The sequence below is a fragment of the Homo sapiens genome, chromosome 5 (genome assembly GCF_000001405.40).
Source record: "Homo sapiens chromosome 5, GRCh38.p14 Primary Assembly".
Lineage (NCBI taxonomy): Eukaryota > Metazoa > Chordata > Mammalia > Primates > Hominidae > Homo > Homo sapiens.
The window spans coordinates 177,657,114-177,671,347 of NC_000005.10; the positions used below are offsets into that span (position 1 = coordinate 177,657,114).

The 14,234-nt window shown below is 40.1% G+C and overlaps 1 pseudogene across 1 annotated transcript in view; it reads right to left on the reverse strand.

Moving 5' to 3' along the window:
* The window catches only part of SIMC1P1 (SIMC1 pseudogene 1), a 53,778-nt pseudogene that overhangs the window by 38,614 nt on the left and 930 nt on the right, over positions 1 to 14,234 (reverse strand). The gene's annotated exons all lie outside the window — the stretch shown is intronic.

Below are 14,234 nucleotides of genomic sequence, written 5' to 3' on the forward strand. Positions count from 1 at the left end.
CTCAGCCTCTGGAGTAGCAGGGATTACAGATGCCCACCACCATGCTGGCTAATTTTTGTAGTTTTAGTAAAGACAGTGTTTCACCATGTTGGCCAGGCTGGTCTCGAACCCCTGACCTCAGGTGATCTGCTCACCTCGGCCTCCCAAAGTGCTGGGATTACAGGCATGAGCCACCATGCCTAGCCAGGTTCTTTATTTAAATATTTTGTTTTCTAGCTTTAAGGAAACCTTTTCTTTCTCTTAAGCTACTTATTAGTTTACAGTAATTTGGTATACTTTGTGAACAAAGGTGGAAACATTTTTTTTGTCCCTATTTGATTCCTCTAAAATTCAGAAACTATCCATGAGTATTCTTATTTTTTATGGCAAGAATTATTTACATAAGTTTAATAAAATTTGCTCTCTCTTTATAACAGGATGCAGTTGGAAACATTGGTTATATATATTACCAAGGCTTTAACTAGAGCATCATATTTGAGAATGTGCATATAATGCCTGGCTTCAAGGGTTCCCAGCCTTACAGTGAGTAAGGCTGTTAATACATCTGTTCTTAGATTATAGCCCTGTGCATTGTCTTTGAGTTCCTGTTATACACTGGTAGACTGAACTAAATCTTAAATTCTTCTAGATTCCTCCCATCTTTTCTTCCATGAAATTAGTAAAAACAGGAACTGCTCTGTTCCTGAAATCCTAAAAGCTAAAACTAGATAAATTTTAAGGGGCAAGTCTCATGGCTGATGATGAGTCACACAGAAAGTTCACCAAACCATCCAGTGCCATAACCAGACGTTCAAAACTGAAAACCAGGACAATAAGTTGACATTTTCATGCTGCAGACAGCTTTTCCCTAGACGTTAGAACAAGACTACATAATCAGACTCCTACTCCTCTTAATCCTACCTTTTTCACTTGGCAGGATAACAGTGTAATTGAAATTTCACAATCAGCAGCTTCTGTTGGTAACTTGACAGAAACTGGTTTAAGGGATCCTTTAGTCCATCTAGTGGGTGACCTTGGCAACATCCCTAATACAACTGTTGCTCTCTCTCTGCTTTAATTCCACCCAGTCATGGGATCCTAGATGATAAAATTGGTCTATATTATCTATTAGTTAAATAAGGAAATTTCTGTGCTGTTGCTAATACTTTATGCTGTAACTAGATAATGGCCTTTGGGAAAGTTGAGACCCATATATGCAAAATAAGAAAACAGGCCACACAGTTACAAAAGGTGTCACCTAGTTCTCCGTGGTCATTTGATTTATTCAATTGATTCAAAGGTTTAATTGAACCTTGAATCCTAGGTTCATGGCTGAAAATTATTACACAAACCGAGATTATCATTTTACTTTCTATTTTTCTTTTTAAACTTTGTAGCTATTACTTGTTAAAATTCTGCCAAACTACAATGCCTAACAGAATAATGCTGGCCCAGCACTTTGAAGTGATAGGAAACACCTATGGAACTGATAAAATTAAACTTAATAATGAACCCCAGGTAAACTTAGCTTGAGAGCTACTCCCTCCAAACCTCCCTTGTTGCTCAAACATGGCTAAAAGAGTTTTGACACTGACTCCTAGTTGTCAATGACTCCCTACAACATGGAATGAGACCAACAATCCAGGATAGGTCCATCCTGGCACTGAGGGATATCAAAACTGAACTATTTCCAGGCACAGTGGCTCATGCCTGTAATCCCAGAACTTCGGGAGGCTGAGGTGGGTGGATCACTGGAGGTCAGGAGTTAGAGACTAGGCTGGCCAACACTGCAAAACTCCGTCTCTACTAAAAATACAAAAAAATTCTCGAGGAGTATCTTTAGAAGAGCAACCCTAAGACGCATAATCGTCATATTCACCAAGTTGAAATGAAGGAAAAAATATTAAGGGCAGCCAGAGAGAAAGGTCGGGTTACCCACAAAGGGAAGCCCATCAGACTAACAGTGGATCTCTCTGAAGAAACCCTACAAACCAGAAGAGAGTGGGGGCCAATATTCAACATTCTTAAGAAAATAATTTTCAACCCAGAATTTCATATCCAGCCAGACTATGCTTCATAAGTGAAGGAGAAATAAAATCCTTTACAGACAGGCAAATGCTGAGAGATTTTGTCATCACCAGGCCTGCCTTACAAGAGCTCCTGAAGGAAGCACTAAATATGGAAAGGAAAAACCGGTACCAGCCACTGGAAAAACATACCAAATTGTTTTTGTTTTGTTTTGTTTTTGAGGTGGAGTCTCGCTTGCTCTGTCGCCAGGCTGGAGTGCAGTGGCATGATCTTGGCTTGCTATAATCTCCGCCTCCCAGGTTCAAGCCATTCTCCTGCCTCAGCCTCCCGAGTAGCTGGGACTACAGGAGTGTGCCATCACACCTAGCTAATCTGTGTATTTTTAGTAGAGACAGGGTTTCACCATGTTGCCCAGGATGGTCTCGATCTCCTGACCTTGTGATCTGCCCACCTCGGCCTCCCAAAGTGCTGAGATTATAGGGGTGAGCCACCGTGCCTGGCCAAACATACCAAATTGTAAAGACCATCAACACTATGAAGAAACTGCATCAACTAATGGGCAAAACAACCAGCTAGCATCATAATGACAAGATCAAATTCACACATAATATGAATCTTAAATGTAAACGGGCTAAATGCCCCAATTAAAAGACTCAGACTGGCAAATTGGATAAAGAGTCAAGACCCATTGGTGTGCTGTATTCAGGAGACCCATCTTGTGCAAAGACACACATAGGCTCAAAATAAAGGGATGGAGGAATAAATTACCAAGCAAATGGAAAGCAAAAAAAAAGGGTTGCAATGCTAGTCTCTGATAAAACAGACTTTAAACCAACAAAGATCAAAAAAGACAAAGAAGGGCATTACATAATGGTAAAGGGATTAATGCAACAAGAAGCGCTAACTATCCTAAATATATATGCACCCAATACAGGAGCATCCAGATTCATAAAGCAAGTTCTTACAGACCTACAAAGAGACTTAGACTCCCACACAATAACAGTGGGAGATTTTAACACCCACTGTCAATATTAGACAGATCAACAAGACAGAAAATTAACAAGGATATTCAGGACTTGAACTCAGGTCTGGAACAAGTGGACCTAATAGACATCTACAGAGCTCTCCACCCCAAATCAACAGAATATGCATTCTTCTCAGCACCACATCTCACTTATTCTAAAATTGGCCACATAATTGGAAGTAAAACACTCCTCAGTAAATGCAAGAGAACGGAAATCATAACAGTCTCTCAGACCACAGTGCAATCAAATTAGAACTCAGGATTAAGAAACTCACTCAAAATTGCACAACTACATGGAAACTGAACAACCTGCTCCTGAATAACTACTGGGTAAATAACGACATTAAGGCAGAAATAAATAATTCTTTGAAACCAATGAGAACAAAGACACAATGTACCAGAATCTCTGGGACACAGCTAAAGCAGTGTTTAGAGGGAAATTTCTAGCACTAAATGCCCACAGGAAAAAGCCGGAAAGATCTAAAATTGATACCCTAACATCACAATTAAAAGAACTAGAGAAGCAAGAGCTAACAAATTCAAAAGCTAGCAGAAGGCAAGAAATAACTAAGATCAGGGTAGAACTGAAGGAGATAAGAGACATGAAAAACCCTTCAAAAAAATCAATGAATTCAGGAGCTGGTTTTTCTTTTTTTTTTGAGACGGAATCTCGCTCTGTTGCTCAGGCTGGAGTGCAGTGGCATGATCTCGGCTCACTGCAAGCTCCACCTCCCGGGTTCACACCATTCTCCCGCCTCAGCCTCCTGAGTAGCTGGGACTACAGATGCCCGCCACCATGCCCAGCTAATTTTGTTTTTGTATTTTTAGTAGAGACGGGGTTTCACCATGTTAGCCAGGATGGTCTCGATCTCCTGACCTTGTGATATGCCTACCTCAGCCTTCCAAAGTACTGGGATTACAGGCGTGAGCCACCATGTCTGGCCAGGAGCTGTTTTTTTGAAAAGATTAACAAAACAGATAGACCACTAGCCAGACTAATAAAGAAGAAAAGAGAGAAGAATCAAATAGACACAATAAAAAATAATAAAGGGGATATCGCCACTGATCCCACAGAAATACAAAGTACCATCAGAGAAGACTATACACACCTCTATGCAAATAAACTAGAAAATCTAGAAGAAATGGATAATGTCCTGGACACATACACCCTCCCAAGACTAAACCAGGAAGAAGTTGAATCCCTGAATAGACCAATAACAAGTTCTGAAATTGAGGCAGTAATTAATAGCCTACCAACCAAAAAAAGCCCAGGACCAGACGGATTCACAGCCAAATTCTACTAGAGGCACAAAGAGGAGCTGGTACCATTCCTTCTGAAATGATTCCAAACAATAGAAAATGAGGGACTCCTCCCTAACTCGTTTTATGAGGCCAGCATCATCCTGATACCAAAACCTGGCAAAGACACAACAACAAAAAAAAAATTTCAGGCCATTATCTCTGATGAACATCGATGCAAAAATCCTCAATAAAATACTGGCAAACCAAATCCAGCAGCACATCAAAAAGCTTATCCACCACGATCAAATTGGCTTCATCCCTGGGATGCAAGGCTGGATCAACATACGCAAATCAATAAACGTAATCCATTGACAGAACCAATGACAGAAACCACATGATTATCTCAATAGATGCAGAAAAGGCCTTTGATAGAATTCAACACCACTTCATGCTAAAAACTCTCCATAAACTAGGTGTTGATGAAACGTATCTCAAAATAATAAGAGCTATTTATGACAAACCCACAGCCAATATCATACTGAATGGGTAAAAGCTGGAAGCATTCCCTTTGAAAACCAGCACAAGACAAGGATGCCCTGTCTCACCACTCCTATTCAACATAGTATTGGAAGTTCTGGCCAGGGGAATCAGGCAAGAGAAAGAAATAAAGGGTATTCAAATAGGAAGAGAGGAAGTCAAACTGTCTCTGTTTGCAGATGACATGATTGTATATTTAGAAACACTATCGTCTCAGCCTAAAATCTCCTTAAGCTGATAAGCAACTCCAGCAAAGTCTCAGGATTCAAAATCAATGTGCAAAAGTCACAAGCATTCCTATACACCAATAATAGACAAACAGAGAGCCAAATCATGAGCAAGCTCCCATTCATAATTGCTACAAAGAGAATAGAATACCTAGGAATACAACTTACAAGGGATGTGAAGGACCTCTTTAAGGAGAACTACAAACCACTGCTCAACAAAATAAAAGAGGACACAAACAAATGGAAAAACATTCCATGCTCATGGATAGGAAGAATCAATATCATGAAAATGGCCATACTGCCCAAAGTAATTTATAGATTCAATGCTATCCCCATCAAGCTGCCATTGACTTTCTTCACAGAATTAGAAAAAACTACTTTAAAGTTCATAAGGAACCAAAAAAGAGCCCATATAGCCAAGACAATCCTAAGCCGAAAGAACAAAGCTGGAGGCATCACACTACCTGACTTCAAACTATACTACAAGGCTACAGTAACCAAAACAGGATGGTACTGGTACCAAAACAGATATATAGACCAACGGAACAGAACAAAGGCCTCAGAAATAATGCCACACATCTACAACCATCTGATCTTTGACAAACCTGACAAAAACAAGCAATGGGGAAAGAATTCCCTACTTAATAAATGGTGTTGGGAAAACTGGCTAGCCATATGCAGAAAACTGAAACTGGGCCCCTTCCTTACACCTTATACAAAAATTAACTGAAGATGGATTAAAGACTTAAATGTAAAACCTAAAACCATAAAAACCCTAGAAGAAAACCTAGGCAATACCATTAAGGACATAGGCATGGGCAAGACTTCATGACTAAAACACCAAAAGCAATGGCAACAAAAGCCAAAATTGACAAATGGATCTGATTAAACTAAAGAGCTTCTGCACAGCAAAAGAAACTATCATCAGAGTGAACAGGTAACCTACAGAATGGGAGAAAATCTTTGTAATCTATCCATCTGACAAAGGGCTAATATCCAGAATCTACAAGGAACTTACACAAATTTACAAGAAAAAAACAAACAACCCCATCAAAAAGTGGGCAAAGGATATAAACAGACACTTCTTAAAAGAAGACATTTACGCGGCCCACAAACATATGAAAAAAAGCTCATCATCACTGGCCATTAGAGAAATGCAAATCAAAAGCACAATGATACACTATCTCACACCAGTTAGAATGGCAATCATTAAAAAGTCAGGAACCAACAGATGCTGGAGAGGATGTGGAGAAATAGGAACACTTTAATCTGTTGGCGGGAGTGTAAATTAGTTCAACCATTGTGGAAGACAGTGTGGTGATTCCTCAAGGATCTAGAACCAGAAATACCATTTGACCCAGCAATCCCATTACTGGGTATATACCCAAAGGATTATAAATCATTCTACTATAAAGACACATGCACATGTATGTTTACTGCAGCACTATTCACAATAGCAAAGACTTGGAACCAACCCAAATGCCCATCAATGATAGACGCATAAAGAAAATGTGGCACATATACACCATGGAATACTATGCAGCCATAAAAAAGGATAAGTTCATGTCCTTTGAAGGGACATGGATGAAGCTGGAAACCATCATTCTCAGCAAACTAACACAGGAACAGAAAACCAAACACTGCATGTTCTCACTTATAAGTGGAAGTTGAACAATGAGAACACATGGACACAGGGACGGGAACATCACACACCGGGGCCTGTTGGGGGGTGGGGGGCTAGGGGAGGGATTGCATTAGGAGAAATACCTAAGGTAGATGATGGGTTGATGAGTGCAGCAGCCACCATGGCATGTGTATACCTATGTAACAAACCTGCACGTTCTGCACATGTATCCCAGAACTTAAAGAATAATAATAATAATAAATAAAAAATTAGCTAGGCATGGTGGCACTTGCCTGTAATCCCAGCTACTCGGGAGGCTGAGTGGGAGAATCACTTGAACCCGGGAAGTGGAGGTTGCAGTGAGCCAAGATCACTTTGCCTGGGTGGCAGAGTGAGACTCCATCTCAAGACAAACACACACACACACACACACACACACACACACACACACACACACACCTGAACTATTATACAAGCTGATTGGCAATGTTTTTGGGAAAACATCTTGATCAAATGAGGGAAATGTGAGTTGTCAGTATCAAAATGGAGTCACCTGGCCAGGCGTGGTGGCTCATGCCTGTAATCCCAACACTTTGGGAGGTCGAGGTGGGTGGATCACAAGGTCAGCAGTTCGAGACCAGCCTGGCCAATATGGTGAAACCCCGTCTCTACGAAAAATACAAAAAAATTAGCCAGGTGTAGTGGCACATGCCTGTAATCCCAGCTACTCAGGAGGCTGAGGCAGGAGAATTGCTTGAATCCGGGAGGTGGAGGTTGCAGTGACCCGAGATCGTGCCACTGCACTCCAGCCTGGGTGACAGAGCGAGACTCGTCTCAAAAAAAAAAAAAAAAAAAAACCTTGACAAATAGAGCTAGGGAAGGCCATGAAGGGAGGATTACTATGCACAAATGCCTGATAAGTACCACAAAAGGCTCTGCAAAAACCACAACCTTACAGAAAAAAATACTTCCATGAGGACATCTGCCCAGCAACTGCCTGCTCGACCTTGGACTGGAGCCACCCTTGTTATTAATCCTTGCAGATAACGATAATTATCTCAAAACAATTATGTAATCCTCCTCATTTTTCCTTTAAAAGCTTCTGCCTTCCTTTACCTCCCTGAATACACACATAGTTTATTATGGCTCACACACTCCGGTTGCAATGCCATTCCTGAATAAATATCACTTTCTTTTTAGATAGTCGCTGTCTGTTATTTAGGTTGACATAAGCATGACAACTAAGAAATCATAAAGAAAAGGAGTGGTAGAATTGACTATATAAAAATGTAAAACTTCTGTAATTAAAAAAACAAAATCAAAAGTTGAAAGAAAATTGTAACATGTATGACAGGAGGCTATATTAGTTTCCTAGTAAAAATTACCAGAAACTAGGTGGATTTAAGCAACAGAAATTTATCCCCTCACAGTCCTGGAGGCTAAAGGTTTGAAATCAAGGTGTCTACAGAGCCACGTTCTCTTGAAGGCTCCAGGGAAGAATCTGTTTCATGCCTTTTTCTTAGCTCCTGATGTCGCCAGCAGTCCTCGGTGTTCCTTGGCTTGCAGCTGCATAACTTCGGTTTCTGCTTCCACTGTCACATGGCGTTCTTCCCCTGTGTCTTCACATGTTCTTCTCATAAGGACAGTAGTCATGTTGTATTAAGGGTTCACTCTACTCGGCACAACCTCATCTTCACTGATTATATCTGCCAATGACCCTATTTCTAAATAAGGTCACAATCTGAGGTAGTGGGGGGTTAGAACTTCAGCACAGCTTTTTAGGAGATACAGTTCCACCTATACCAATCTTTAATATATAAGTAGATTTAACAAATGAATAAGAAATGTTGGCCGGGTGCGGTGGCTCATGCCTGTAATCCCAGCACTTTGGGAGGCCGAGGCGGGTGGATCACTTGAGGTCAGGAGTTTGAGACCAGCCTGACCAACATGGTAAAACCCCGTGTCTACTAAAAATACAAAATTAGCTGGGCATGGTGGCACATGCCTGTAATCCCAGCTGCTTGGGAGTCTGAGGCAGGAGAATCGCTTGAGCCAGGTAGGTGGAGGTTGCAGTGAGCTGAGATTGCACCATTGCACTCCAGCCTGGGCAACAAGAGTGAAACTCCCTCTCAAAAAAAAAAAAAAAAAAAAAAAAAAGGAAAAAAAAAAAGAAACATTATAATACCGCAACAGAAAAATGGGCAAAGGACAAGCATAGGGAATTTGCACACATACCCTATGTGTTTCCAATAAACATAAGCAAGATGTCTGGCTGTACTATATGTGAGCACACTCCTTTATCTCCAACCTCACTAGCTGCTCTTCCTCCCTTGGGCTATGCACTATGGTGTTCCCTTGGGCTAGGTTCTGGATGTTCTTCCTCTTGTCACCTCAACCTAGATGATTTTATCCAGGTCAATGACTTCACTATAACCTATGCGCTAACAAGACTAAATTTGTATCTCTAGTCAGGACTTTTCTTCAGAGCTCTAAACTCAGTACAAATGTTATACTTGGCATCTCCAGTTGGCTATTCCACAGGCATCGTTAAGTTTTATACCTTCAAAACAGAACTCTTGAATCTTTCCTCTAACCCTGTTCCTCCCAAGTCTGCTTCATTTCAATGCATGACACCAACATGCATTCAGTTGCTCAAGCCAGAACTCAGGGCATCCTTCTTCATTCCTTCCTTTCCCTTGTTATCCACATCCAAGTTATCAGGACCTGTTGATTTTATTTACTAAATATCTACATCCCTCCACTCTCCCAGTCTGTACCACCACTCCAGTCCAAGCTACAGTTATTTCTGACCTGGACTACTACAGCCAACCTTCTAACTGATCTCCCTAATTTCACTCTTCCCCTCTTACAGTAGGGTGACTACACTTCTGCTTTGTTTGGGACAGTTCCAGTTTTCACCTGTTGCTTGACATCCTGGTCCAGTTAGCATCCCTTTTCATTTGCAAAAGTTTCCCAATTGGATGATAAATTATATGGTCTCCCTACCTTACCATCTTTTCTTTTCACAGTAGCTAAAGTCATCTCTAAAAAATGTAAATCAAGGCTAGGTGCAGTGGCTCACGCCTGTAATCCCAGCACTTTGGGAGGCCGAGGCGGGAGGATCATGAGGTCAGGAGATCTAGACCATCCTGGCCAACATGGTGAAACCCCGTCTCTACTAAAATACAAAAAATTAGTCAAGCGTGGTGGTGCGCTTGTAGTCCCGGCTACTCGGGAGGCTGAGTTGGGGGAAATTGCTTGAACCTGGGAAGTGGAGGTTGCAGTGAGCCGAGATCGCACCACTGCACTACAGCCTGAGCAATGCAACAGAGCAAGACTCCATCTCCAAAAAAAAAAAAAAAAGGTAAATCAAATCATGTCACTGTCCTGCTTAAACCTTCAAAGATTTCTTACTGTATTACAATAAAATCCAAATCCCTTATTGTGGTCTCCAAAGCCCTATAACCTAACCTACCTACTTCTCATCTCTTCTGACTCTGTCCATCAGTCGTTACACTGCAGCCTCACTGGCTTTCCATTCTTCCAGTAAGTCATGCTCATTCCTGCCTCCAAACTTTTGGTTTTGTTGTTCCCTTTGACAATGCCTTATTCATCTAGATCTTATAACTAATTTGTTGTCATTTTAGTCTCAGGTCAAATATTAACTCTTCAGAGAGGCCTTCTCTGAAAACACAATCAAATGTTCCCAATCCCACCAAAGTTACTATTATACTGTTCTCTTATTTGTTAGTTTGTTTACTGCCTATCTTTCCACAGCAGAATGTAGTTCCATTATCATCTTGTTCACCTCTGGTCCCCAGGGTTACAGCATATGCTCAATAAATATTTATTGAATAAATGAATCATAATAAAAAAATAATGACATCTTATGGAATCTGGCTATCAAACAGCAAAGATTAAAAGAACAAAAATACCGTATTTTTTCCCCTAACACTCTGTATTATCACCTGACATTACATTTATAGTGCTGTTTACTATCTGTGTCCCCTCAGTAAAATGAAATCTCCATGACGGCAGGGACTTGGTTTTCATAGATGTATTCCCAGCACCTCTAAGAGTGCCTGGTATATAATAAGTGTTCAATAAATATTTATGGAATAATGTAACAATACCTAGGGGTGACTAGGCAGCAGAGAAAGGGATATGATTGGCCATATACCACTGGTAAGAATATTAATGCACAATTTCTGTAGGAAATTTGGCAATACAGTTGATTCGTGAACAACACAGGTTTGAACTGCATGGGTCCACTTACAAGAGAGTTTTTTTCAATAAATATATTGGAAAATTTTTTGGCGATTTATAACAATCTGAAAAACTCACAGATGAACTCCACAGCCTACAAAAATTGAAAAAAACTAAGAAAAAGATATGTCCTGAATGCATAAAATATATGTAGATACTAGCCTATTTTATCCATTTACTACCATAAAATCAACACAAATCTATTATACAAAGTTAAACTTTATCAAAATTTATGCACACAATCACTTACTGACCATAGATGGTGACATCTGCAGTTGACAGAAATGTAAAGATGCAATATTAACTCACAACTGCATATTTTTAAATTCATTATTTTTTTCTTTTTAATTTGTATCACAACTGCATAAAATTTACCATAGACTACACTGTACTACTGTGATAATAATGTCCTACTACCACAGACATCTGCTGCTGCTGTGGTGGGCTCAAGTGTTGTGAGGATCCACTTAAAACGCCATGTCACACTAATCAATTTCTGCACTACTTCCCAGTAAACTGTGTATCATGGTAACAAGTGTTCTCTCCTGGGTTTTTTTCCACATATACTTGTTTAATCATGTGTAGGGTAATATCGTAAACCTTGAATAACACCATGAAACCCATACAAAGTGCTACTAGTGATGCTGGATGTACTCTCAAGAAACAGAGAAAAGTCATGACATAAGAAAAGCTGAATCGCTTGAGATGTACCGTAGATAGAGGTCTGCAGCTGTGGTTGTCCCCTATTTCAGACAGATGATTTATCTTGTAAACAGACGATGTAAACCTATGGTATTGACAAATGCAGTATAGTACTGTAAATGTATTTTATCTTCCTTATGATCTTAACATTTTTCTCTTGCTTACTTTATCGTAAGAGTCCATATAACATACAAAACATGAGTTAACTGCTTATGTTACTGGTAAGGCTTCCAGTCAACAGTAGGCCACTGGTAGTTAAGTTTTCGAGGAGTCAAATGTCACATGTAAATTTTCAACTGCACGGGGGGGTTAGCAACCCTAATCCCCGTGTTATTCAAGGATTAGCTACATATAAAGTAGGGCACACCTTTTGACTCAGCAATCTAACTTCTAAGAGGAACTTAATAAACAAATGAACAAGAGTACAAAGATTATGAGGGAATTTTTCACTGGGTTCTTAGAGAAAATTTAGAAACGAAGGCATAATATCCATTAAGAGGAGGTCATAAAAACATGTATGGGGAGGACACATAGGTATGTATGTATGCACATGTGTGTATGCAAGTAAACATTTACATAGACATACATCAAAATGTTAACATTGGTTATCTTTGGATAGTGAGATTACGGGCAATTTTAATTTTCTTCTTTATACATTTATAAAAATTGTATAATTAGATCAACAAAATTAACCATCTGAAAATGTTCTGTTTTTATAAGTAAAAAAACGAAAAACAAAAAATCCCAAACGAAAAAGCCATGATAAACACAGAAACACACCTCATCGACTCAGTGAAGACTAAAGCCCAGGTTAAGAATCAAGAGTTCAGAAATGTCAACTTCAGCATTAGACATGGCTTTCTCAAGTTCAAGCAAGTTACTTCCCCTTAGTCAATATTTATTAAAAAAAAAAAAAAAAGCAAGATGTAAAAGTTGCTTCTTTTATTTCATTGCCTGTGAAGCTCAAGAGGGACAGGACTGGGCTTAGAAACAACACAAAAAGTGGCAAAAGCTATCATTTATATGAGATCCTTTCCTTGCAATTGTCTCATTAAAAATTTAAAACCATCCTGCTAGGTAGGCATTAATGTTCTCAGGCTCAAAAGCTGAGAGTTGACAGAACTTTCCAAAACTCAAATAGTTGCTATGCTGGAGATATTGATTCAGAAGTCTCTCTGACCTCAGAGCCTTCGGGAAAAGCTACAGAGAAAAGGGCACTTTTAGACTTTATAACCTTGCAAGTCTCTCAATGCCTCTGATCTTTTACATGGTTATCATACCACTCTTATCTAACTTGCAAAAAAGATAAAACGAGAATAAGCTTGGAGCTTTTAGAGAGCTGGAATAAATATCTGGAGAAGCACGATTTAAATTGGGTACTGCTCTCTGGAACTTGCCCCTCATTTCGATTCAACTCAAAGGCTCAAGATCAAAATGCTTGCTTGAGTGGTCACAAGTGAGGGAAACAGTGAGAGACTACGCCCATGTACGTATGTGAAAGACCACAAAAGACTGAGATAAGCATGGCATCTGACCACTGAAGAAGGAAGCTGGACGAGAATGAGGGAAAATGGACAACACTTGGGAGGAAAGGAAGCAAGTGGGAAGGACAAAGTTAAACAGGTAGTGAGAGAAGAGGCTATAGGAATGAGGAGGAACTAGGAGGAAAGAAGTATTTTTTCCCTTCCACCTTTTTTCTCTCTCTACTCTTTTCCTTCATGATCTCAGTCACTATTAGGCCTTCAATACTCCTTTCTGTTTGCATGATTGCCAAATATCTCCATTCTTGCCTTTTCTCCAACTACTGAGCTGGCCACATCCATCTACATTTCCTATTAACACTGTAAATCCAACAGGTCCAACCTGAATTCAGCATCTCCTTCATCTCAAGCCTGCTGCTACTTTTATATGCACTTCTCTTATACTTATCAAACATCCATCTAAACCATTCTCTCTCCCCATATTCTTTCAATCGTTCCTTCATCCAACAAATATTTATTGTGCATCTATTATGTCCGATACATTCAGCCACAGCCCTAGATATATCCATTCACTCATGAAGTCGGGTCATTTCTATCTTGGAAATCTCTTCTCTCACTACCTCATGAGCTGCCTAACTCAACTAAATTTGTCTCTAAGACGTCCTGAGAAACCCTCTTGCTTGAAAAATAATATATATTAACTAGTTTTGCATGCTATTCATTCTATAGTGATCATCTAGCACTTGGCACTGTACCTCGGGCACAGAAGGGGTTCCCAATGGAGGTTTAGGGACTGTAAACCAGCTAGAAAGGGAACAGGGGCAGCAGAAGCTAGGAAACGTCTTGAACGAGTATTTGCATAGGAAGCATGGTAAACTGTATGATCTATACACATAACATCAGCTTGATAATCCTTGTGTTTCCGGGGGATGGCTCTGGGAGGCTGGGGAGATCGTTGGAAGCCTTCTGAGAGAAAGCTCCACCTCCCACCGCTTGAGTAGGTCCTCAACAACCACCTGATGATGTATCACCTTCTGAGGGGACCATGGATATTGTGTTCGCCGTTGTATCCCCGGCCCCTACAACATCTGGCCCATAGTAGGGATTCAATAAACATCGATGCA